At 42.2% G+C, this 25,760-nt stretch overlaps 2 pseudogenes across 2 annotated transcripts in view, besides 2 other annotated features; one reads left to right on the top strand and one right to left on the bottom strand.

Moving 5' to 3' along the window:
- The window catches only part of FRG1BP (FSHD region gene 1 family member B, pseudogene), a 42,680-nt pseudogene extending 22,205 nt beyond the window's left edge, over positions 1–20,475 (top strand). The window contains exon 8 of the transcript NR_145491.1: positions 18,080–20,475. The product of NR_145491.1 is annotated as an FSHD region gene 1 family member B, pseudogene, transcript variant 1 (transcript). The remainder of the gene's footprint in view (positions 1–18,079) is intronic.
- Positions 3,540–4,094, bottom strand: MLLT10P1 (MLLT10 pseudogene 1; annotated as a pseudogene). The gene is given in 1 exon segment (NR_045115.1): positions 3,540–4,094. The product of NR_045115.1 is annotated as an MLLT10 pseudogene 1 (transcript).
- Positions 11,422–11,934: an enhancer, noted in NCBI's record as "OCT4-NANOG hESC enhancer chr20:29645466-29645978 (GRCh37/hg19 assembly coordinates)". NCBI's record gives its function as "activates a minimal SCP1, AML or CMV promoter by ChIP-STARR-seq in naive H9 embryonic stem cells {active_cell/tissue: H9 hESC(naive)}" and the evidence as "EXISTENCE:reporter gene assay evidence [ECO:0000049][PMID:30033119]".
- Positions 12,065–12,359: a silencer, noted in NCBI's record as "tiled region #7852; K562 Repressive non-DNase unmatched - State 25:Art". NCBI's record gives its function as "represses a minimal TATA promoter and a strong SV40 promoter by Sharpr-MPRA in K562 cells {active_cell/tissue: K562}" and the evidence as "EXISTENCE:reporter gene assay evidence [ECO:0000049][PMID:27701403]".
- Positions 20,476–25,760: the final 5,285 nt, after the last annotated feature.

Here is a 25,760-nt window from a genome sequence, read left to right on the forward strand (position 1 = left end):
AGTAGCTAGTTTAACCAGGATTAAACAAGTTTAATCAGGATTCTTCATGGATGTACTTCCTTGGCTAACTACAGTTTTTCACATGGAAATGAAACTTACAGTACACACTTAACGTATCACAGAATTTTTTTCTGGATTTCCTGTCCTGAAGCATGAAGTGTACTAGAAACCAATTCTTCCTGCGCTACTTGTGGAATCTTTCTTACTGGATCATAATCTTACTTTACTTTATACAATAGATGCTTAATCAGTGCCTTTAATAGGAAGTTGGAAACTCCAAATCCAATCAACAAGGCTTTGATTCTGCCTCCTAAGTACTACCCAGATCACAGACAATCCAAATATCAGAACTAGGGGTCTGGGCAGAGAGGACAAATCATCTATTAGGGAGTGGGACAGAAAGTGGAAACATTACAAAGGAGCAAGTAGGCTCAGAACAGAGGGGAGAGTAGTACTGGGGAAACTCCCTACGGAGGACAGGTTAGCCACAGTGGATATGTATGTGATGCTTTTGTCCTCGTGGGCTGGAATGGAAGCTGATAAAGAAGTTCAGACGCTACGTGTTGCTTAGGTCTGCTTCGTTGAAGCCTGTCTCTTTCAGAGTTCCTAAACACAATATTCCCATGGCATCTAATCCCAGTGAGTGCTCCAAAGCCAGGCTGTGTATCAGATGCCACGGGAAATTCTGCCTCAGGACTGAGGTTGGTTCAAGCATCTGGATGATGTCAAAAGTCCACATTGTGTGCTGGCCTAACCTGAAAGACCCTATCTAGTTCTAGCCTTTAAATTCCTTCTGTCACCAAATCTGGAGTTACATGGCATCTGTACAATCTGGGTAGCTGAGGCATGGGATCAGCCCTTTAAAGGAGATTTTGGAGCTTTCATTGTAGGTCTAGCTTCAACTTGGCACTCCCAGTTCCAATAGCTGGACTTTCTCTCATCGTGTGTTCTGATCCTTGGATTGGGAAAAAAGTAACCACTCTGATCCCACAATGCAGTGGTTCCAGTTCCCAACTGGTGACTATTTTGCCTCCCAGGGGACATTTTTGGTTTTCCCAACTGGAATGTGGTGTTAGAGAGTAGAGGCTAGGGATGCTGCGAAGCATGTGGCAGAATCCTGTTCCACCCAGAATGCTAACAGTGCCAAGGTTATGGAGCCTTCCCACCCAAGGGCTTGGTCTATTCCTTGCTTTTGCCAGCTGCCTAACCCTTAAACACAACAGTTCAAATCTATATGCATAAGCATCTCCTAGGGACCCTGCACGTTTCCAATATCGACTACTGAGACCCATCCGTAGAGATACAGGCTAGGAAGTCTAGGATTGGGCTCAAAATTTGCATTTTAACAAGTACTCCAGGTCATTCTGAAGCAAGCGATACAAACCACAGAATGAGGAACACCGCCTTCAAGAGACTGAGTCTTGCTTCCCAACACTAGCTTGGTATCTGAGACCATCTGCCTGCTGACTGGCTTTTCTGGCACAAACATTCTGCATGTAGGCCCAGTGTGTTCCTCGACTCCATATCAACCCGTTCACCCTCATGTTCCCTTGGTTCCTGTCCCCAGTCCAGCGAGCAGAACTGATTACAGATCTTGACAACAGAAGGTACAGATTTAAAATAACTTGCCTGTTCCCGTGGAATTTATCCACTAGTGAAGGAGGACAAGTGGACAAGGGGAGAGGGTAGGTGGGCGCTCCTTCCCTTTTCCTCCCATTCCACTTTATACAAACCCCAGCTAGACCACTGGGAGAGCAACGGAGGTTAAGAATGACTGCCTCTAAATATTGTCATTTGGTCCACTCTTCTTCCATCTTGTATACAAGGATATCATGACTTTGGTTTAAAGCACTACTGAAACCAAGATAAACTGTGGCTTAGCATTCCCCCGATGGATCAGTCTAGTAATCTTATCAAAACCAAGATTACCTAAAAGCACTAACCAAAGGAAAAGCTCCCTCACCCCAACCTATGACTGCTCACATTTTTCAGATTGAATCATTTCAATTGTATTTTAAGATCCATTGACTCTTTACCACCTCCAAGCTGCTCCTGAACACAACTGATTATTTTAATTTTGAAAACTTTCTCACTTCTAGAATTTCCACTTGAGCCTTTGTTATTATTGTAGTTTCTTCTTCTCTGCTGTGATTTCCTATCCATTTATTTTAAGGGTTTTTGGGGTTTTGATTTTAGTAAGAATTACAATAACTACTTTAAAAATCCGCACTAATTCCAACATCTGGGTCATCTCGAAGTCAGTCTCTATTGATTGCCTTTTTCTTTGAATATGTTTCTGTATTTTTTTGATATAATGGGATTGAATTCTGAAGATTGTAAAACTAGATTTTGTTTTGTTCCTCTGAAAATTTTGATAATTTTTTGTTGTATTTGTTGTATTTTGTTTGATTTTTTTTCTATTGTATACTTTGCAATATATTTTCCTCCAATGGTTTTAACATTTCTATTTCTCAAAATATTTATGTTTATGTTAAAAATTATACAAAGTAGCTTGGTGCAGTGGCTCCCCTCTGTAATCCCAGAACTTTTAGAGGCCAAGGCAGGAGGGTCACTCGAGCCCAGGAGTTGGAAACCAGCCTAGACAACAGGGCAAGACCCTGTCTCCACAAAAAATTATTAGCGTGGTGCAAAAAGTAATTGCGGGTTTTGCCATTACTTTCAATGGCAAAACCCGCAATTACCCTTGCACCAACCGATAAAAAATAAGCTGGATATGGTGGTGGCTTGTGCCTGTGGTCTCAGCTATTTGGGAAGTGAAGGCAGAGGTGGGAGGATTGCTTGAGCCCAGGAGTTCCAGGCCAGCCTGAGACCCTGTGTCTATGAGAAAAGAAAAAATTTAGCTGGGCCCACGTACCTGTGGTACTAGCTACTTGGGAGGCAAAGGCAGAGGTGCCAGAATCACTTGAGCCCGGAAGCTCAAGGCTGCAGGGCACTGTGATTATGCCACTGCACTCCAGCCTGGGTGATGGAGCACGACCCTGATTCCAAATAATAATTAGAAAAAGGAAAGACCTAGAACACCAGGTTAGGGTTAAGTATTCTAAAATTTAGCTAACTTACTCTGTTCTCTATAAAACAGGTTGTCACAGAAAATATAGCATGCCCAGTTAATTTGAAATTTCAGATAAACAAATACTTTTTTTAGTGTAAGTATATCCTATGCAATATTTGGGACATGCTTATACTAAAATATTATTCCTTGTTTATCTGAAATTGAAATTTAACTAGGTATTACATAATTATAGCAGCCTGACCATAAAAGATATGTAGGCTGAGCAAAATTCTACTTTAAACTGCAAGCTTTATAATAAATGCATTATTAATCAAGAACTATTATTTACTGAGACCTGTGTAGATCCCCATATTTATCTTTTATATTGTGGAGCTAGGAAAGCTACATAAAGAACATTTATAGAAATAAATGACTGTTCTATAGCTGAAAGGAAAACTCTAGCTTTTATTTTTCTCCCCAAACTTAAGCTTTATTCTACGTTTGTATAAACAATAAAATTACAGCTCAACTTTGGAAGCACAGATCATAATATAAAAATAAAGCAAAGATCCCAGAAATATTTAACAGACAACGAATCTTTCACATCATCTTACTATAGCAACTAAACATATAATAACTTAGAATGATCCATTAATTATAAATAAAGAATAAATTCTTTTACAAAGCATAACTATTAATATTATTGACCATCATAAGAGCAAATATTTTAAGTAAAACACCATAAATACTTTACAGAAAGGAGCGAGTTGCAGACACAGTCATTCTTGGATTTCTTTCAACACCAGGCTTTCTTCCCTTTTGACCTGAACTGGGAGTTGAATATTGCCTCTCTTTGCCTTCTGACCCTCTAGTCTCTGAAACATCTTTTGTACTAGAGGTATGTGCAGAGACTTCCTGGAAATTTGGATTTGTAAATTGTGCTGTTGTATCTTCTAGGCACTGCAGTGATCCAGATATAGAGCTGTTGCTCTTGCTTGTATAATTGTAACATTTTGATTCAAAAAAGGAAGTAAAAGGAAGAGTTGATTAAATTTGGCTACTGACATTAATAATAATAAATAATAATTGTACTTGTAATATAAACATCTGAAAGTTTTAGTTCTAAGAATGGCTGTCGACATAAGAAAATTATGTAAAAATAATTAATGTCTATTATAATTACTTTAACCAAAGAAAAAGTATAATTTAAAGATGGCTGTTTAAGGATCAAATTGCAGCAATTGGTAAAAGTAGATATTAGTCATATTTATGAAGTGACACACAGTGATACTGAAGGCACTTATTTCTCAAGAAACATCATTTTTTCCCAACAAGAACATACTACATCCTAGACATGAGATGAAAATAAGCTTTAATTTTCACCACAGCAGGGCGACAATCAGAGAACTGAGGTGGTACAGATCCATTAGAGGACCATATCCATGAGTCTATCAGTCTCTACTGTAGGACAGAGCAAGAATTTTTAAAGAATCTCGGTGAAGGCTCCTTTTCAAAAAAATATAAAGATTAAAGCCTTTGAAACGTAAATTATTTTTTCCAGTTATTACATTGAGGACAAAGTTATAGTTGCAAAGTTAAGATTTTTATAACTATCTCTAAAATTGATTCTCAGTGACTCCCTTGATCTACATATGTTAAGGAAAGAGGCAAGATGAAGATGTGTTAAATATTTTCCAGTTTTTAATAATCACTTTAATATAAGGTATACCCAAATAATGGTGAATTAAATGACAAAGTATGTTGCTCCCTCTCCCTCTCCCTCTCCCTCTCCTTCTCCCCTCGCCATGGCCTCCCTCTCCCTCTCCCTCTCCCTCTCGCCACGGTCTCCCTCTCCCTCTCTTTCCACGGTCTCCCTCTGATGCCAGGCCGAAGCTGGACTGTACTGCTGCCATCTCGGCTCACTGCAACCTCCCTGCCTGATTCTCCTGCCTCAGCCTGCCGAGTGCCTGCCATTGCAGGCACACGCCACCACGCCTGACTGGTCTTCGTATTTTTTTGGTGGAGACGGGGTTTTGCTGTGTTGGCCGGGCTGGTCTCCAGCTCCTAACCGCGAGTGATCTGCCAGCCTCGGCCTCCGGAGGTGCCGGGATTGCAGACGGTGTCTGGTTCACTCAGTGCTCAATGGTGCCCAGGCTGGAGTGCAGTGGCGTGATCTTGGCTCGCTACAACCTCCACCTCCCAGCCACCTGCCTTGGCCTCCCAAAGTGCTGAGAGTGCAGCCTCTGCCCGGCCGCCACCCCGTCTGGGAAGTGAGGAGCGTCTCTGCCTGGCCGCCCATCGCCTGGGACGTGAGGAGTCCCTCTGCCTGGCTGCCCAGTCTGGAAAGTGAGGAGCGTCTCTGCCCAGCCGCCATCCCATCTAGGAAGTGAGGAGCGTCTCTGCCCGGCCGCCCATCATCTGAGATGTGGGGAGCGCCTTTGCCCCGCCGCCCCGTCTGGGATGTGAGGAGCGCCTCTGCCCGGCTGCGAGCCCGTCTGGGAGGTGAGGAGCGTCTCTGCCCAGCTGCCCTGTCTGAGAAGTGAGGAGACCCTCCGCCTGGCAACCGCCCTGTCTGAGAAGTGAGGAGCCCCTCCGCCCGGCAGCCACCCCATCTGAGAAGTGAGGAGCCCCTCCGCCTGGCAGCCACCCCATCTGGGAAGTGAGGAGCGTCTCTGCCCGGCAGCCACCCCATCCGGGAGGGAGGTGGGGGTCAGCCCCCGCCAGGCCAGCCGCCCCATCTGGGAGGGAGGTGGGGGGGTCAGTCCCCCACCTGGCCAGCTGCCCCGTCTGGGAGGTGAGAGGCGCCTCTGCCCAGCTGCCCCTACTGGGAAGTGAGGAGCCCCTCTGCCCGGCTAGCCGCCCCGTCCAGGAGGGAGGTGGGGGGGTCAGCCCCCCACCCAGCCAGCCGCCTTGTCCGGGAGGGAGGTGGGGTGATCAGCCCCCCACCTGGCCAGCCACCCCATCCGGGAGGGAGGTGGGGTGGTTAACCCCCCGCCAGGCCAGCCGCCCCCTCCAGGAGGGAGGTGGGGGGGTCAGCCCCCCGCCCAGCCAGCCGCCCCGTCCGGGAGGTGAGGGGCGCCTCTGCCCAGCCGCCCCTACTGGGAAGTGAGGAGCCCCTCTGCCCGGCCAGCCACCCCGTCCGGGAGGTGGGGGGGTCAGCCCCCCGCCCGGCCAGCCGCCCCGTCCGGGAGGTGAGGGGCGCCTCTGCCCGGCCGCCCCTAGTGGGAAGTGAGGAGCCCCTCTGCCCGGCCAGCCGCCCTGTCCGCGAGGGAGGTGGGGGGGTCAGCCCCCCACCCGGCCAGCCGCACCGTCCGGGAGGGAGGTGGGGGTGTCAGCCCCCTGCCCGGCTAGCTGCCTCGTCCGGGAGGTGAGGGGCGCCTCTCCCTGGCCACCCCTACTGGGAAGTGAGGAGCCCCTCTGCCCGGCCAGCCGCCCTGCCTGGGAGGGAGGTGGGGGGGTCAGCCCCCCGTCCGGCCAGCCGCCCCGTCCAGGAGGGAGGTGGGGGGTCAGCCCCCCACCCGGCCAGCCTCCCCGTCCGGGAGGGAGGTGGAGGGGTCAGCCCCCCGCCCGGCCAGCCGCCCTGTCCGGGAGGGAGGTGGGGGGGTCAGCCCCCCGCCCGGCCAGCCGCCCGGTCTGGGAGGTGAGGGGCGCCTCTGCCCGGCCGCCCCTACTGGGAAGTGAGGAGCCCCTCTGCCTGGCCACCACCAAGTCTGGGAGGTGTACCCAACAGCTCATTGAGAACGGGCCATGATGACAATGGCGGTTTTGTGGAATAGAAAGGGGGGAAAGGTGGGGAAAAGATTGAGAAATCGGATGGTTGCCGTGTCTGTGTGGAAAGAAGTAGACATGGGAGACTTTTCATTTTGTTCTGTACTAAGAAAAATTCTTCTGCCTTGGGATCCTGTTGATCTGTGACCTTACCCCCAAACCTGTGCTCTCTGAAACATGTGCTGTGTCCACTCAGGGTTAAATGGATTAAGGGCGGTGCAAGATGTGCTTTGTTAAACAGATGCTTGAAGGCAGCATGCTCCTTGTTTCTTTGTTCACTTGTTTATCTGCTGACCTTCCCTCCGCTATTGTCCTATGACCCTGCCAAATCCCCCTCTATGAGAAACACCCAAGAATAATCAATAAAAAAAAAAGACCCTGTCCCCTCCAAAATAAATAAATAAATAAATAAATAAATAAATAAATAAAAAGACTGAGATTTGCTAAGCACAAAGTTCTTTGATTATGACACAAACCCACTGCATGTGTAGTATTCATCTGGACTGAGTACAAACAAGATGCTCATGCTGTGTGCTGTGCTGTGAGTAATAAAGTCCTTTGTCTCTGAAAAAAAAAAAAAAAAGAAAAAAGAAAGTATGTTATAGCAGATGCTCACTCATCAACCTGCCTTGAAATTAAAGGTTTATAAGGTGCATAAGGGCAAAGCCTTTGATGTTGTCATTACATTCACAAAGGTATCTGAGGCACGTACAGCATGAAGTTCCCTAAGTGCTTGCAACATAAGCAGCACTAAATTTTGTTGAATAAATAAATGAATACTTTTGTATAGCATCTGCTCAAAATCTCTGATGTAAAAATGAAAATAATCTGAAAATATGCAAAACTGAATTTTCCCACATACGGTTGCCAATTCATACAATAAGATAAATTTCAAAATGAGAACATGACAATAAAATCAAGTTTCAAAATGGCTGGCCTTTTATAGCAAAACCCATGTTCAAAAAAAGGAATAAGACATCAAATATTTTGAGAACCAAAATTTCACTGCTGCTTTTCTAACACCCTGTTGTTAACCTGAGCCCCCATCCTCTTACTGTCAGTAACAGATTTTCATAATAAAATACAAGAAACAGGCCGGGTGCCTGTCAATAACATATTTTCATCATCAAATACAAGAAACAGGCAGGGCACGGTGGCTCACACCTGTAATCCCAGCACTTTGGGAGGCTGAGGCGGGTGGATCACTTGAGGTCAGGAGTTTCAGACAAGCCTGGCCAACATGGTGAAACCTCATCTCTACTAAAAATACAAAAATTAGCTGGGTGTGGTGGCAGGCGCCTTTAATCCCAGCTAATCAGGAGGCTGAGGCAGTAGAATCGCTTGAACCTGGGAGGTGGAGGTTGCAGTGAACTGAGATTGAGCCACTGTACTCCAGCCTGGGAGACAGAGCAAGACTCTGCCTAAAAAAAAAATAAATACATAACATAACAGAATCTCTGGGACATATTCAAAGCAGTGTGTAGAAGGAAATTTATAGCACTAAATGCCCACAAGAGAAAGCAAGAAAGATCCAAAATTGACACCCTAACATCACAATTAAAAGAACTAGAAAAGCAAGAGCAAACACATTCAAAAGCTAGCAGAAGGCAAGAAATAACTAAAATCAGAGAAGAACTGAAGGAAATAGAACACAAAAAACCCTTCAAAAAATTAATGAATGCAGAAGCTGTTTTTTTGAAAAGATCAACAAAATCGATAGACCACTAGCAAGACTAATAAAGAAGAAAAGAGAGAAGAATCAAATAGGTGCAATAAAAAATGATAAAGGGATTATTACCACCAATCCCACAGAAATACAAACTACCATCAGAGAATACTAAAAAACTTCTACGCAAATAAACTAGAAAATCTAGAAGAAATGGATAAATTCCCTGACACATACATCCTCCCAAGACTAAACCAGAAAGAACTTGAATCTCTGAATAGACCAATAACAGGCTCTGAAATTGAGGCAAAAATCAATAGCTTACCATCCAAAAAAAGTCCAGGACCAGATGGATTCACAGCTGAATTCTACCAGAGGTACAAGGAGGAGATGGTACCATTCCTTCTGAAACTATTCCAATCAATAGAAAAAGAGGGAATTCTCCCTAACTCATTTTAAGAGGCCAGCATCATCCTGATACCAAAGCCTGGCAGAGACACAACCAAAAAAGAGAATTTTAGACCAATATCCTTGATGAACATTGATGCAACAATCCTCAATAAAATACTGGCAAACCGAATCCAGCAGCACATCAAAAAGTTTATCCACCACGATCAAGTGGGCTTCATCCCTGAGATGCAAGGCTGGTTCAACATACGCAAATCAATAAATGTAATCCAGCATATAAACAGAGCCAAAGACAAAAACCACATGATTATCTCAGCAGATGCAGAAAAGGCCTTTGACAAAATTCAACAACACTTCATGCTAAAAACTCTCAATAAATTAGGTATTGATGGGACATATCTCATAATAATGAGAGCTATCTATTACAAACCCACAGCCAATATCATACTGAATGGAAAAAAACTGGAAGCATTCCCTCTGAAAACTGGCACAAGACAGGGATGCCCTCTCTCACCACTCCCATTCAACATAGTGTTGGAAGTTCTGGCCAGGGCAATCACGTAGGAGAAGGGAATAAAGGGTATTCAATTAGGAAAAGAGGAAGTCAAATTGTCCCTGTTTGCAGATGACATGATTGTATAGCTAGAAAACCCCACTGTCTCAGCCCAAAATCTCCTTAAGCTGCTAAGCAACTTCAGCAAAGTCTCAGGATACAAAATCAATGTACAAAAATCACACGCATTCTTATACACCAATAACAGGCAAACAGAGAGCCAAATCATGAGGGAACTCCCTTTCAAAATTGCTTCAAAGAGAATAAAATACCTAGGAATCCAACTTACAAGGGATGTGAAGGACCTCTTCAAAGAGAACTACAAACCATTGCTCAATGAAATAAAAGAGGATACAAACAAATGGAAGAACATTCCATGCTCATGGGTAGGAAGAATCAATATCGTGAAAGTGGCCATTCTGCCCAAGGTAATTTATAGATTCAATGCCATCCCCATCAAGATACCAATGACTTTCTTCACAGAAATGGAAAAATCTACTTTAATGTTCATATGGAACCAAAAAAGAGCCCACATCGCCAAGTCAATCCTAAGCCAAAAGAACAAAGTCGGAGGCATCATGCTACCTGACTTCAAACTATACTACAAGGCTACAGTAACCAAAACAGCATGGTACTGGTACCAAAACAGAGATATAGATCAATGGAACAGAACACAGCCCTCAGAAATAATGCTGCATATCTACAACTATCTGATCTTTGACAAATCTGACAAAAACAAGCAATGGGGAAAGGATTCCCTATTTAATAAATGGTGCTGGGAAAACTGGCTAGCCATATGTAGAAAGCTGAAACTGGATCCCTTCCTTACACCTTGTACAAAAATTAATTCAAGATGGATTAAAGACTTATATGTTAGACTTAAAACCATAAAAACCCTAGAAGAAAACCTAGGCAATACCATTCAGTTCATAGGCATGGGCAAGGACTTCATGTCTAAAACACCAAAAGCAATGGCAACAAAAACCAAAATTGACAAATGGGATCTAATTAAACTAAAGAGCTTCTGCACAGCAAAAGAAACTACCATCAGAGTGAACAGGCAACCTGCAGAATGGGAGAAAATTTTCACAACCTGCTCATCTGACAAAGGGCTAATATCCAGAATCTACAATGAACTCAAACAAATTTACAAGAAAAAAACAACCCCATCAAAAAGTGGGCACAGGATATGAACAGACACTTCTCAAAAGAAGACATTTATGCAGCCAAAAAACACATGAAAAAATGCTCACCATCACTGGCCATCAGAGAAATGCAAATTAAAACCACAATGAGATATCATCTCACACCGGTTAAAATGGCGATCATTAAATGTCAGGAAACAACAGGTGCTGGAGAGGATGTGGAGAAATAGGAACACTTTTACACTGTTGGTGGGACTGTAAACTAGATCAACCATTGTGGAAGTCAGTGTGGCGATTCCTCAGGTATCTAGAACTAGAAATACCATTTGACCCAGCCATCCCATTACTGGGTATATACCCAAAGGAATATAAATCATGCTGCTATAAAGACACATGTATGTTTATTGTGGCACTATTCACAATAGCAAAGACTTGGAACCAACCCAAATGTCCAACAATGATAGACTGCGTTAAGAAAATGTGGCACATATACACCATGGATTACTATGCAGGATAAAAAATGAAGAGTTCATGTGCTTTGTAGGGACATGGATGAAACTGGAAACCATCATTCTCAGTAAACTATTGCAAGGACAAATAACTGAACACCGCATGTTGTCACTCATAGGTGGGATTTGAACAATGAGAAGACATGGACACAGGAAGGGGAACATCACACACTGGGGACTGTTGTGGTGTGGGCGGAGTGGGGAGGGATTGCATTAGGAGATATACCTAATGCTAAATGACGAGTTAAAGGGTGCAGGACACCAGCATGGCACATGTATATATATGTAACAAACCTGCACGTTGTGCACATGTACCCTAAAACTTAAAGTATAATAAAAAAAAAAAAGTCAAGAAACAACAGATGCTGGCAAGACTGTGGAGAAATAAACACTTTTACACTGTTGGTAGGAATGTTAATTAGTTCAATCATTGTGGAAGACAGTTTGGCGATTCTGCAAGGATCTAGAACCAGAAATACCATTTGACCCAGAGATCCCATTACTGGGTATATAACCAAAGGACTATAAATCATTCTATTATAAAGATGCATGCACGCGTATGTTTATAGCAGCACTATTCCCATTAGCAAAAACATGGAATCAATCCAAATGCCCATCAATGATAGACTGGATAAAGAAAATGTGGTGCATACACACCATGGAATACTATGCAGCCATAAAAAGGAATGAGATCATGTCTTTTGCAGGGACATGCATGAATCTGGAAACCATCCTCTTCAGCAAACTAATACAGGAACAGAAGACCAAACACCACATGTTCTCACTCATAAGTGGGAGCTGAATAATGAGAACTCCTGGACACAGGGAGAAGAACAATACACACTGGGGCCTGTCAGTGGGGACGGGGAGGGAGAGCATCAGGATAAATAGCTAACACATGTCAGGCTTAGTACCTAGGCACCTAGGCAGTGGGTTGATAGGTACAGCAAATCATCGTAGTTCACGTTTACCTATGTAACAAACCTGCATGTCCTGCACATGTATCCTGGAACTTAAAATAAAATTTAAAAAATAAAAAGAAAACACAAGAGTACTGAAAATTGGCTCACAGTTCCACAGCCTGTACAGCAAGCATGATGCTGACATCTGCTCGGCTTCTGGGGAGGCCTCAGGAAACTTAACAATCATGGTGGAAGGGAAAGCAAGAGCAGGAGGAAGAGAGAGAGGGGGAAGGTCCTATACACTTTAAACAACAAGATCTCATGAGAACTCTATCACAAGAGCAGCGCTAGGGGGATTATGCTTATCCATTAGAAACTGCTCCCATGGACCAGCCACCTCCCAGCAGGCCACATCTCCGACAGTGGGAACCACTGGAGGCTGCTCCCATGGACCAGCCACCTTCCAGCAGGCCCCATCTCCAACACTGGGAACCACTGGAAACTGCTCCCATGGACCAGCCACCTCCCAGCAGGCCCCATCTCTGACACTGGGGATTACATTTCTATAGAAATTTCCAATAATTTTGGAACACATACTAATAACATATTTATAAAAATACAGTCCAAAGTAGCCCAAACACCATTCACTCTTCTATTTGAAAGTTTTCCCTCTATTCTAATGTCACAATATCCAGCGTTATTAATCAGAATCCTGCATTTAAGGGCATCTGTTAAATTTTATAGCTGATTATAAAACCATCATTTAAAGAGGACCAAAATGAGACAAAAATTGTCTGTGGATGACAAAAACATTAAGGGCAGCCACAGTTAAAGACACGAACAACAGTCTTTAAAGTAGAATTTGCTGTAGAGCCTATTATGAGGGAGATATTTCTAGTTATTACCTCCTTTATTCTAAACCATGGAAAAAGGACCTATCAAATAAAGTCCTTCTAGAAGAGTGAAGGGCTCCTGGCAATGTTCTCTTTAATCCATGATGTGGGATAAGGGGAGTTTTGACTGATTATGAGGCAATGTATATACCACTAAAGTTTCAACACCCTAAAAGGAATAAAAATGGGGGAGGGAAGTCCTGGAAAACCAGATGGAGCCGTAGCAGAAGATGATTTCAGTCCACCGAACCCTGAATTGTGGGCTGGTTGTGCTGCATCGCTCTGTGACTTATGGTTCTGCTGCAACAAAGATCTAATTCCCAGGGTTATAGGAAAAGACACCTGCAGTACCCCTGAGTCACAGAGAAGGGAGAAATCCAAACTTGACTTAAGTCTAGGGTTCTTAAACCACACAATCTGCTCATAAGGAGGACTTCAACTCTGAAGATACTGATTTGGGGCTGTTTCAAAGAAAGAAATTATAAATATGAGTGGGAAAGAGAACAACCTTCCCCATATCCAGTGGCAAAAAAATGAGGGAGAGGGAAGGAAGGAAGGAAGGAGGGAAGGAAGGAGAGAAGGAAGGAAGGAGAGAGGGAAGAAAGGAGGGAAGGAAGGAGAGAGGGAAGGAAGGAAGGAGGGAAGGAAGGAGAGAAGGAAGGAAGGAGAGAGGGAAGAAAGGGAAGGAAGGAGAGAGGGAAGGAAGGAAGTAGGGAGGGAGGGAGGTAGGGACGGAAGGAAGGAAGGAAGTAGGGAGGGAGGGAGGGACGGAAGGAAGGAGAGAGAGAAGGAAGGAATGAAAGAAGGAAGGAGAGAGGGAAGGAGGGCAGGAAGGAAGGAAGGCAGAGAGGGAAGGAGGGAGGGAGGGAAGGAAGGAAGGAGAGAGGGAAGGAAGGAGAGAGGGAAGGAAGAAAAGGAAGGAAAGGGAAGGAGGGAAGGCAGGAAGGAGGGAAGGAAGAAGGGAAGGAAGGAAAGAGGGAAGGATGGAAAGATGGAAGGAAGGAAGGCAGGAAGGAGGGAAGGAAGGAAAGAGGGAAGGAAAGAGGGAAGGAAGGAAAGATGGAAGGAAGGAAGGAAGGGAAGGAACTTGGATATGCACAAAAACAAAATTTAATACGGAAGTCTATCATCTGACCTAATTGGAAATGTACTATTTTCTACAACAATTTATACAGTCCAAAGATAAAAGGGTGCTGATTGGTATTTGTAACTCTCCAGCATATATTCTGAATCAATTTTAACATCTGCTGAAATCTACCAATTGTCATACCTTCACAAACTAAATCGATACTGAAGCTCAAACTTTGTTATACCTGAGATTTCACTAAATTTAAACATTGCATCCCCTAATCCTAGCAGAGTAACTGCATATAGAATAGAGGGCACATACTTATGCCTCACATTTGTTACCTTGACTAAATTTCCCGTAGTCATAGAAGTCTTTGTCCATAGGGGACCTGGATGCTCTGACCTAATGAGTAACAAATTGATATTAAATCATTTACACTTACACATTGACTTCACCAAATGTAACCTTACAGAACTCCCTCTCCTGTTTTTTTTTTAATTTGATTTATTTTTAATTTTTCATTTTTTAGAGATGGGGTCTTCCTTCATTACCCAGGCTGAATGAAGTGTGGTGGCACAATCGTAGTTCACTGCTGCCTTGAACTCCTGGGCTCAAGCAATCCTCCCATTTTAACCTTCCAAGTAGCTGGGTTTACAGGCATGCACCAACACAGCCAATTAAAAAAATTTATAGAAGTGGAGTCTTGCTATGTTGCCTAGGCTGGTCTCTAACTTCTGGCCTCAAGCAATCCTCCTGCCTCGGCCTCCCAAAGTGCTGGGATTACAGGTGTGAGTCACCGTGCCTAGCCTCCCCATCTTGATAAATTAGCAAATATGGTTCAACATAAATTACAACACGACTTCAAATAAATAAAACTTATTATATAAAACCAAATGAATTAGGGAAGGGGTGATAATCTTCATTGCTTCAACGTTTAGCAGTAGAATTTGGCCTGTTCTTAAACCTGCAAAGAATAAATGGTGTTTCACAGTGGATTGCTGTAATGTGACTGCAGTGCTCCCATTCATTAAGGCCCTTGTACCCAATACCTAATATTTTGGTTAATTTTTTTTATTTCAATAGGTTTTTGGGGAATATGATTTTTTTTTTTTTAATTTCAATAGGTTTTTGGGAAACAGGTGGTGTTTGCTTACAGGAATAAGTTCTTTAGTGGCGATTTCTGAGATTTGTGGTGCACCCATCACCCAAGCACTGTACATTGTACCCAATATGTACTGTTTTATCCCTCACTGCACCCACCCCACCACTCCCAGCCTTTCCCCGAGTCCCCGAAGACCATTGTATCATTCTTACACCTGTGCATCCTCACAGCTTAGCTCTCACTTATGAATGAGAACATACAATGTTTGGTTTTCCATTCCTAAGTTGCTTCACTTGGAATAATGGTGTCCAGTTTCATCTGGGTTGCTGTGAATGCATTATTTCATTCCATCTTAAGAATGAGTAGTATTCCATGTGGTAAATATTTATACCACATTTTCTTTATCCACTTACTGATTGATGTGCATTTAGGCTGGTTTCAAATTCTTCCAATTGCATATTGTGCTGCTATAAACATGCGTGTGCAAGTATCTTTTTCATATAATGACATTTTCCTCTGAGTAGATACCCAGGAGTGGAATTACTGGATCAAATGATAGATCTGCTTTTAGTTCTTTGGAAATTTCCTCACTGTTTTCCATAGCTGTTGTACTAGCTTACATTCCCTCCAAAAAGTGTAAAAGTGTTCCCTTTTTACCACATCCATGCCAACATCTATTAATTTTTGATTTTTTGATTATGACCATTCTTGCAGGAGTGAAGGGGTATCATATTGTATTGTGGTTTTGATTTGCATTTCCCAGATAATTAGTTATGTTGAACATTTTTTCATGTGTTTGTTGGCCAGTTGCTTATCTTCTTTTGAGAATTGTCTGTTCATGTCCTTAGCCCACTTTTTGATGGGATGTTTTTCTTGCTGGTTTGTTTGAGTTCCTTGCAGATTCTGGGTATTAGTCCTTTAATCAGAAGTACAGATTGCGAAGATTTTCTCCCACTCTGTAGGTTATCTGTTTACTCTGCTGATTATTTCTCTTACTGCTCAGGAGCCTTTTAGTTTAATTAAGTCTCATCTATTTATCTTTGTTTTAGTTGCATTTGCTTTTTGGGTTATTGGTCATGAAGTCTTTGCCTAAGCCAATGTCTAGAAGGGTTTTTCCAATGTCGTCTTCTAGAATTTTTATGGTTTCAGGTATTAGATTTAAGTCCTTGATCCATCTTGAGTTGATTTTTGAATAGGGTGAGAAATGAGCATCCACTTTCATTCTTCTATGTGTGGCTTGCCATTTATCTCAGCACCATTTGTTGAATAGGGTATTCTTTCTCTGCTTTATGTTTTTGTTTGTTTTGTTGAAGATTAGATGACTGTAAGTATTTGGCTTTATTTCTGTGTTCTCTATTATGTTCCATTGATCTATATGGCTATTTTTATACCAGTGCCATGCTGTTTTGGTGACTATGGCCTTCTAGTATAGTTTGAAGTCGGCTTCTAGATTTGTTCTTTTTGCTTAGTCTTGCTTTGGCTATACAAACTCTTTTTTGGTTCTAGGCTTTTATTACCTTAAGGTATGTCCCTTCTATGTCTTTTTTAGTTCCATGTGAATTTTTGTAGTTCTGTGAAGACTGATGTTAGCACTTTAATGGGGATTGCATTGAGTTTGTAGATTGCTTTTGGCAGTATGGTATTTTCACAATATTGATTTTACCCATCCGTGAGCATGGGATATGTTTCCATTTGTTTGTACCTATGATTTCTATCAGCAGTGTTTTGTAGTTTTCCTTGTAGAGGTCTTTTGTCTCTTTGGTTAAGTATTCCGGATATAATTAAGATTTTGTCTGCAAAGATTGCATGCAATTGACAATTATGGGAATATACTATTGTAACTATAGGAATTATAATATTCCTAAGATTTTTATTGCAGCTATTGTAAAAGGGGGTGAGTTTTTTATTTAATTCTCAGCTTGTTAACTATTACTGTATAGCACAGCCACTGACTTGTGTACATTAATTTTGTATCCTGAAACTTTGCTGAATTCATTTACCAGTCCTAGTAGCTTTTGGGATGAGTCTTTAGGGTTTTCTAGGTATACGATCATGTCATCAGCAAAGAGTGACAGTTCGACTTCCTCTTTACCTATTTGGATGCCCTTTATTTCTCTTATCTGATTGCTCTGGTGAGGATTTCTAGTACTGTGTTGAATAGAAGTGGTGAAAGTGGGCATCATTGTCTTGTTCCAGTTCTCAGGGGGAATGCTTTCAACTTTTCCCCATTCCATATAATGTTGGCTGTGTGTTTGTCATACATGGCTTTTATTACCTTAAGGTATGTCCCTTCGATGTTAATTTTGCTGAGGGTTTTAATCATAAAGGGATTCTGGATTTTGTCATATGCTTTTTCTATGTCGATTTTGCTGAGGGTTTTAGGCAAAAAGGGATGCTGGATTTTGTCAAATCCTTTTTCTGCATGTATTGAGATGATCATGTGATTTTTGTTTTTAATTCTGTTTATGTGGTGTATCACATTTATTGACTTACAGATGTTTAACCATCCTGCATCCCTGGTTTCTCTTCAGATCGTATACATCTTTCACCTTATGATGGTTAATTTTATTTGCCAAGTTGGGTTGTCTAGATATTTGGTTAAACACTCTGTATGTGTCTGTGAGGGTGTTCCTTGATGAGACAAACATTTGAATATGTAGACTTAGTAAAGTAGTTGCCCTCTCCAGTGTGAGTGGGCCTCATCCAATCCATTAAAACCCAAATAAAACACAAGGGTAGAGGAAGAGATAATTCACCCTCTTTGATGATTTCAGAGCTGAGACGTAGATCTTCTCTCGCTTTTGAAGTCAGACGTGGACTGTAACTTATGCCATCAGCTTTCCTGGTTCTCAGGAATTTAGGCTTGGACTGGAACTCCACCATTGGCAGTCCTGGTTCTCCAGCTTGCTGACTGCAGGTCCTGGGACTTCTTAGCCTCCATAACCACATGAGCCAATTCCTTACAATAAACCTATATATATTCATGCAACTGATAAATATTTTGTTGTTACAGATTTGGCTACCATGTTCTTTTTGTGCCTATTTTAACAGAGTCTCAGTCATAGCCTGCCTTCATCTCTGAAGGGACCAGGCGACCCATGGAGTGCCTCGGCAGCCTCGTCATTGCATGCAATCTTCACAGACAAGATCTCACTGCAACCACGTTTCTACAGGAGCACAGGTGTGACATTATACTGATGACATCATTCTCAGAGAAAATTCATTTTACATACTAAGGACACACAGATACAAGGAGGCTTACACAAAGGGAGTGGACCTCTCCTCAACACAGTAGTGCAAGGCCCTGCCACTTTGCTTCAATTCCTGAAAATTCCTTGGTAAACTTGGGGCTGCTCTATTCCTGACACTTTCAAAAAACAGTTATTCATCCTCTCAGCATCCACAATGTTAATACAAACCCAACATTCTTCAATTTGTGTTTTGTTTTTTGGAGGCACAGTCTTGCTCTGTCACCCAGGCTGGTATGAAGTGGCACAATTTCAGCTCACTGCAGCCTCGACCTCCTGAGCTCAAGCAATTCTCCCATCTCGGCCTTCCAAGTAGCTCGGACTGCAAGTGTGTGCCACGACACTCAGCTAATTTTGTTTAATTTTTTGTAGAGAAAAGGTCTCGCTATGTTACCCAGGCTGGTCTCAAACTCCTGGGCTGAAGGGATCCTCTTGCTTCAGCCTCCCAAAGTTCTGGGGTTACAGTTGTGAGCCACTGTGCCCAGCCCTTTAATTCTTTACTTGGGGTTCAGGTGACAACATATTTCTTGTTTACAAATCTTACTTAATCTCACTGATGCTGTCATTGGCAAACTGACCCACCTCGAATGAAGCCTCCTCCAACAAGTCTGGAATCTGTCCAAATTTAAATTAACAGGTACTTCTATGAATTCCCTCAGAGAACACACTGTGGATGCTTTAGAGACCTCTTCCCATGCATCCTGAATTATCTGGGTTGCATATGGTGGCCATAAGTAGTCCATGGGCTTCTGATGTAAAAACAAACCTGCCCCTTTTGACCCTGCTCTGTACAGCATCAGGGCAGTGATTGCTGACCATATCCTGGACCCTCTGGAAACAGAGGGCTCTGCATCCATGTCCATGAGCCTTCATGCCCATCTGGCCATCAGGCCTTGGGAAGCAGCACCCCACAGCCTTGGCACAGCTGCAGAGACCTCCTTGCCTCAGGATGGAGTCAAACCTGGACCCCCTGCCATTCTCATCTGCAGGAAACACTGCCCTCCTTCATTCTCAGGCTGTGTTGCTGGAAGTCACCCGTCTCCGAGGACCCTTGGGATCGACTGAGTGACCAGCAGTGAAGTTCATCCACCTTCTGAATGGATGCCATCATCTGACATGATGGAGCGCAGTGGGATGCTGCTGCCTTCCCTCCCTTAGCTAGGATGTCCCTGATAAAGGATGACACCCAAGCCTCAGCACAACTGGCCAAACTTGAGGTGGTCATCTCAGCACTGATGCTGGGCCAACAATTAGCCCCATTTGTACATTTTTACAAATTTTTGGCAATTGTCAAGAATTGTCCACCTTCCCTCCCCATTGAATTAAAGAAACTTCTTGCCTCATGGATACTCAGAATACAATCAAGGTAACAGATGCCTTTTTTTTTAACCAAGGACACAGTACAGATCTCACAGGGACACTCCTTATCTCCTGCAGAGTTCCAGACACTACTGATGGTGACCAAGGCAACATTCATCGGAAAACACAGTGCTAGGCTTGTGAAAGTGTCCAGTAGGGCTTCCACTGCCCCTATAGGCTGCAGGCAGCTGCTTTAGTTGAGAGAGAGACTGAGCTCCTCAAAGAATTCCTATTTAAGTTACAAAGCAGCGAGTGGATGCCCTGCTGGGTTCCACTGTTGCCACAGGCTTTGATTACTCTAAGTTCATGCTTCTTAGGAAAGTGCACTTTTTACACCAACGCTACACAGTTCCCTCAGTTGCCTTTACTGGACATCAAGGAGTTCACATTTTTGACAACCATTCAGTCCTGGACTGTCCAAGGGGTGGAGGTAGCTCCGTACAGGAAGCTGCCTGCTGCGTGTGGATCAGTAATATCAGACTTGCCCAACAACTCACTGGAGACATGAAAATCAATGCATGGGGTTGCATGATATCACCCAAATATTTATGAAAACACTTGTGTGGCCAGAGACCCCAGATATCTAAACCAAAGCATGGGGAATGCATGACATCACCCAAATATTTACGAACATGCTTGTGCTGCCAGAGACCCCAGATCACTTTCCCTGCCTCCTGCTAAATAAATGGGGGTCGTAGCTTTGCATTGGCTTCCACATTACATTACTCATAACTGTGGCCTTCCTAATCTCTCATGTCCCTAAGCACTTATTATAATGTCTCAGCAGCTTTCAGCCTCTCAAAATATTAGTCATCATGAAAATAAATGTCTGATATTAAAGAATCAGGGGTCAATTGTATTGTGACACCTAAAATTTCATGCAGCACCCCACCATGTCCTCAGCCTAATGACTTTCATGCCCCCACCAGACTGCAAAACTCTGAATTAGTCAAGCACATCACTGAAGGGACCAGGGGTTACCCCACCCTCTGATTTCTACCAAGCCTGCCTCCCACACCCTCAGTTCCAGAGTGCTACCCTGGGTAGACCTGCATAAATACAGTGTCATCCCCCGCTGGGCTGAGTATGTGTGACGAGTAAATTACTGGGAATTTCGTCTGCTCAGTGTTAGTTTTGTCTGCAGCCATTCCCAGAATTCTAGGGCAAGACTAGCTTCTTCGCCAATGGGGTGAACAGGAAGGAACCCATGTAGGAATTGCCTTTTTAAAAAAATCCCTTCCCACCCTCTTAATTATGTAATGCTTGCATTTTTATAGCTTTTTTCTCATTCCATTACCTGAGGTCAGCCACTGATATTTAACCCATCCTTAGCCTCGGAGGAGGGCAGAGGAGCACTGGTCATATTGATTTCGCTAGCGGTGACATGATTTCCTTCTGTGCCACTCAAATTCTCTCCTTCTTTAACTTGTTGCTCAGTAGGTTGTGTTTCACTCGTCTTTGCAGATTGTTAGGAAGATGAGAATCAGCTTTCATTTTTGATGTTGCCATAGAGAAGACTCCATGGTAATCTTTATTTGCACAATCAACTTTTTCTTTTCCCCCAGAAATTGCAAATTCTTATGTGAGAGACAGCTTTCTGGAATCTGCAAACATAGATTATCGTCTCTCTTTTGATGGTAAATTTCTTATATCCCCACCAACAATAAAATACTTACATATAATTTTGGCATGTCATATTGATTGCCAACTACACGTAAGAACATTCCTTGATTTTAAATCTAGACTAATTATGAAAATTTGGGTAGTCATACAAAATTATTTTGTACAAATTTATAGACCTTAGGATTAAATGAGTTACTATTAACTAATATTTATTGAGCAGTCAAGTGTATGGCAGAAGCTTACTATGTACTATTTCATTTTATACTTAAAACAATATTCTATGCAAAATGCTATAATTTCCCCATGCCTCCAATTTGGACATGATAAAACTGGGTCTCGTAAACTTTTCACCCCAGAGTTCTCTGCTTAGTAAGAAGTAGAAGTATGTCTAAACCTAAGTCATCTGATTTCAGAGCCCATATAGTTAAATGCTCTAAATGCATCTTCCCATAGTGATCGTGACTATGAGAGCCTGTCACATGATGTAGGACAGTGCTTCCCTGTAACGTGTGCAAGATTCCCGTGATGATGGTGACTATGAGACCCTGTCAGATACGATGCAGGACAGTTCTTTCCTCGAACATGCACAAGATTCCCGTGATGATAGTGATTATGAGAGCCCTGTCACATATGATGTAAGACAGTGCTTCCCTGTAACATGTGCAACATTCCCCTGATGATTGTGACTATGAGTGCCTGTCTGATACGATGTAGGACAGTGCTTCCCTGTAACATGCACAAGATTCCCGTGATGATGGTGACTATGAGAGCCTGTCACATATGATGTAGGACAGTGCTTCCCTGTAACATGTACAAGATTCACCCTGGAATCTTATTAAAATGCAAACTCGTAGACCACACTTTGACTAGCTAAGACAAGAGCATTTAAATGGATGTCCAGGTGACAGTGTTAAGATCCTACTGTTCGTGTGGGCACTGGCTCACCATATTAACAAAGCTTAGGACCTCCAGTCCCTGCTGGAAAAGAAATACAGATACATAGGATGTGACTGTGCATATGGAATGTCTGTTGTGTTCTCGACATTGTACTAGACACTAGAGATAAAAAGTCAAATATCCCTTGCCTCTTTCTGAAAGGAGCTTCCTACACAGTGGCTTCTGACTGCAGTGTATATTTTCTCTTCTGCCCTGGGTGGGTGAGCTCTATCTCAATGTTGGTAACTTAACACTGCCCAGTGGGTTTTACGGGGGAGACCATAGCTAGCTGCGCTCCCACATAGCTATGACCATAGCATATCTCGTAATGCCATTTCCCCTTTGTCAGAAGGCTCCCTCCAGTATCATACATACACGCTCCCCATGATTATAAATTCTTCCTCTTTCCACTAAATGTTCCTAAATCTTGCAAAGATAAAAACATAAACCACATTCTTGTCATAATAGTTATATATTAATGATGAAAGTTCCTTACTTTTCTTCCTTTTCTTTTTGCGATGGAGTCTCGCTCTGTCCCCAGGTTGGAGTGCAGTGGCGCGATCTCGGTTCCCTGCAAGCTCCACCTCCCGGGTTCATGCCATTCTCCTGCCTCAGCCTTCCGAGTAGCTGGGACTACAGGCACCCACCACCACACCTGGCTAATTTTTTTTTGTATTTTTAATAGAGACGGGGTTTCACCATGTTAGCCAGATGGTCTTGATCTCCTGATCTTGTGATCCACAAGCCTCGGCCTCCCAAAGTGCTGGGATTACAGGCATGAGCCACCGCACCCAGCCCAAGTTCCTTACTTTTTATGTGTTTAATATTTTCTCCCAATTTATAGAATATATTGATTAAGAATAAATTTTAGCCATGCACATCTATTACAAACTTCATGATATACTTTGCTATTTTTAAATTTCCTATACTCTTATAAAATGTGTGTTCTGGACTCACATTGGCTTCCATTTCTTCCCTCTGGCTTCTATTAGTTTAGGCTATGAGTAGAGATGGACGAGGTGGCTACTGTAATGGATCAAGGCTATGAGCAGAGATGGATGAGGCAGCAGCTGTAATGGATTAAGGCTATGAGCATCTTGTGAAGTAGGATGTTAAATCTGTAAATGTCAGAATGAATCCAAACTTACCAATTCAAAACTGGATTGTAAAACCGCTCAAAAAAACTGAAAACACAGCTCTACACTTTAGGAGGCTGAGGCAGGCAGATTGCTTAAGTTCAAGAGTTGGAGACAAGTCTAGAAAACATGGAAAAACTGTCTCTACAAAAAATATATATATTTTTAATTAGCTGGGTATGGTGGTATGAGCCTGTGGTCCCAGCTTTTCAGGAGGCTGAGGTGAGAGGATGGCTTGAGCCCAGAAGGTAGAGGCTACAGTGAGTTCTGATCATGCCACTGCATTCCAGCCTAGGTGACAGAGTGAGACCCGTCTCAAAAACAAACAATAACAGCTCTAAACGAAAGTGGCTAGAAAAGTAGCTTAAGTTGTTCCTGTGTGGTTAAATAGAAACATAAATGAACTACTTATGTGCCCCAGGGGCTTCATAATGCTGAGAGCAAAGTCAATTATTCCAGCAGGTTCTAGCAAACTTTATCATATCATGGGGTTCAATGAAAATATCAAATCATAAATATAATAATCAAATCTGAAAGTGAATCTAGTTTCAAAGACCTCAGAAGCCAGTGTGTAGGAAGCTCTTTTCAGATAGAGACAAGGGATTATTTGACTTCTTATCTCTGTTGTCTAGCACAATGTCCAGAACACAACAGATATTCCATATGCACAGTCACATCCTATGTATGTGTATGTGTATTTCTTTTCCAGCAAGGACTAGAGGTCCTAAACTTTGTTTATATGGTGAGCCAGTGCCCAAATGAGCAGGAGAATCTTAGCACAGTCACCTACACACTCATTTCAATGCTCTGGCCCCTTATCCAAGCTAGTCAATGTGTGGTCTATGGTTTTGCATTTTAAGGGATCTCCGGGTGAATCTTGTGGCTGTCAAAGGAGAAGCACTGCCCTCAAAATATAGAAAAGGTGAACTAATTTATCCAGGCAGGCTGGCTATTTATTTATGTATTTATTTATCTTTTTGATGGGAAGATTCAAATTGACATACACAATCACCCCCATAAAGATTTCAGGTAAAAAACAAACAAAGGTTTAGATATCAGATGTGTTTTGCAATTACCGCACCAGTCTTTTTACTACAGAATCTAGTAGCATATTTCCCAATAGATCTAGGTGAAAATTTCTATCTCATGAGCCTTCTGTCAGTATTTTTAAAATTGGACACTCTATTAGTGGCCACATTGAATCTCTTACAGGCATCTCACTCAAACTGCAGCCATACTTTCCAATAGGCCCCATAAAAATCCTTGTTCTGGAGCAATCTAATATATTTATTCACCTCTTTAGACACTTAGGTAAGTATAATAATACAAGTTTTGTGTGTGTGTGTGTGTGTGTATTGTGTACCTTGTGACCTCTTTTCCAGTTTCTGCAACACCTGAAGGTGAGGCAAGCTTAATGTAAATAATGTCCAGCAATGTTAGAAATGTTGACTTTTATGTGTCCATCAGGAAAAAAGGATGAATGTTATTGTAGAGGAAATTTTCATTCTGGAAAAAAATGCATACTGTTTGAATATTACTTTCATGCTTTCCACAGATATTATACACAGATATTATATTCCAAGGATTATGTTGCAATGTCTTCAAAAATAGAAAATTCATTTTATATTTCTAGATGAAAATAATAATAGTAATTAGCCTACCTTTGGGGAAATGTGACAAAAATACTAATGATGATTACAACTCATTAAAAGCATAAAATGTGCAATGATTTAAACTACATGTTCTTTCTATGAATCTGCGTAGAAATATAGACATATTTGATAAATGCTATTTAAAGTCTGAGTGCTTTGGTAAATGATTCGTCTATAGGTTGAAGGGATTACTTTTATCTGTCTTCATAGTGAGAATTAGATTTCTATTCTTTATAAAGCAGGGAATACAGATTGTGCATGGAGTAAAAGCATTCAATCCTTATTAATAATGATGGTAGCTGCGCTGCAGAAAAGAAAGCCTGTCAGAGTAACGTGTTCAGTTTTACATCATAATCAGAGGTATGTCGATCTCTGTTGAAGGTAGAATTAAAAACGCCTTCAACATTTTTAAAATAATAGATGAAAAACATCTCAAAGTCACTTTTAAAATTTGAATTGACGATTCCACATAACAGGGAAAGGACAAAGAACATCTTAAATACTTCACGATGGAAGTGATGTTTTAAGTGCAATTTCATCAAGGAGAAGTTTTTCCAGAAAGTCTTTTGACCTCAGTAAGAAGCTTATTTACTCTGGTAAATAGTTTCTAGTAAGATGAGAAAGACTTGATTTTTTAAAAACAATAAAAAATTCACATTGTTTAATCTAATGTTGTGATTTCAAAAGTACTACTTTTGCCCTTATAGTTACGCATGTGTATTTATATGCATTTTCTTGGTTCATTCAAACGCCAATAAAATACTTTACTATCCAGGCC

The sequence above is a fragment of the Homo sapiens genome, chromosome 20 (genome assembly GCF_000001405.40).
Source record: "Homo sapiens chromosome 20, GRCh38.p14 Primary Assembly".
Classification (NCBI taxonomy): Eukaryota; Metazoa; Chordata; class Mammalia; order Primates; family Hominidae; genus Homo; species Homo sapiens.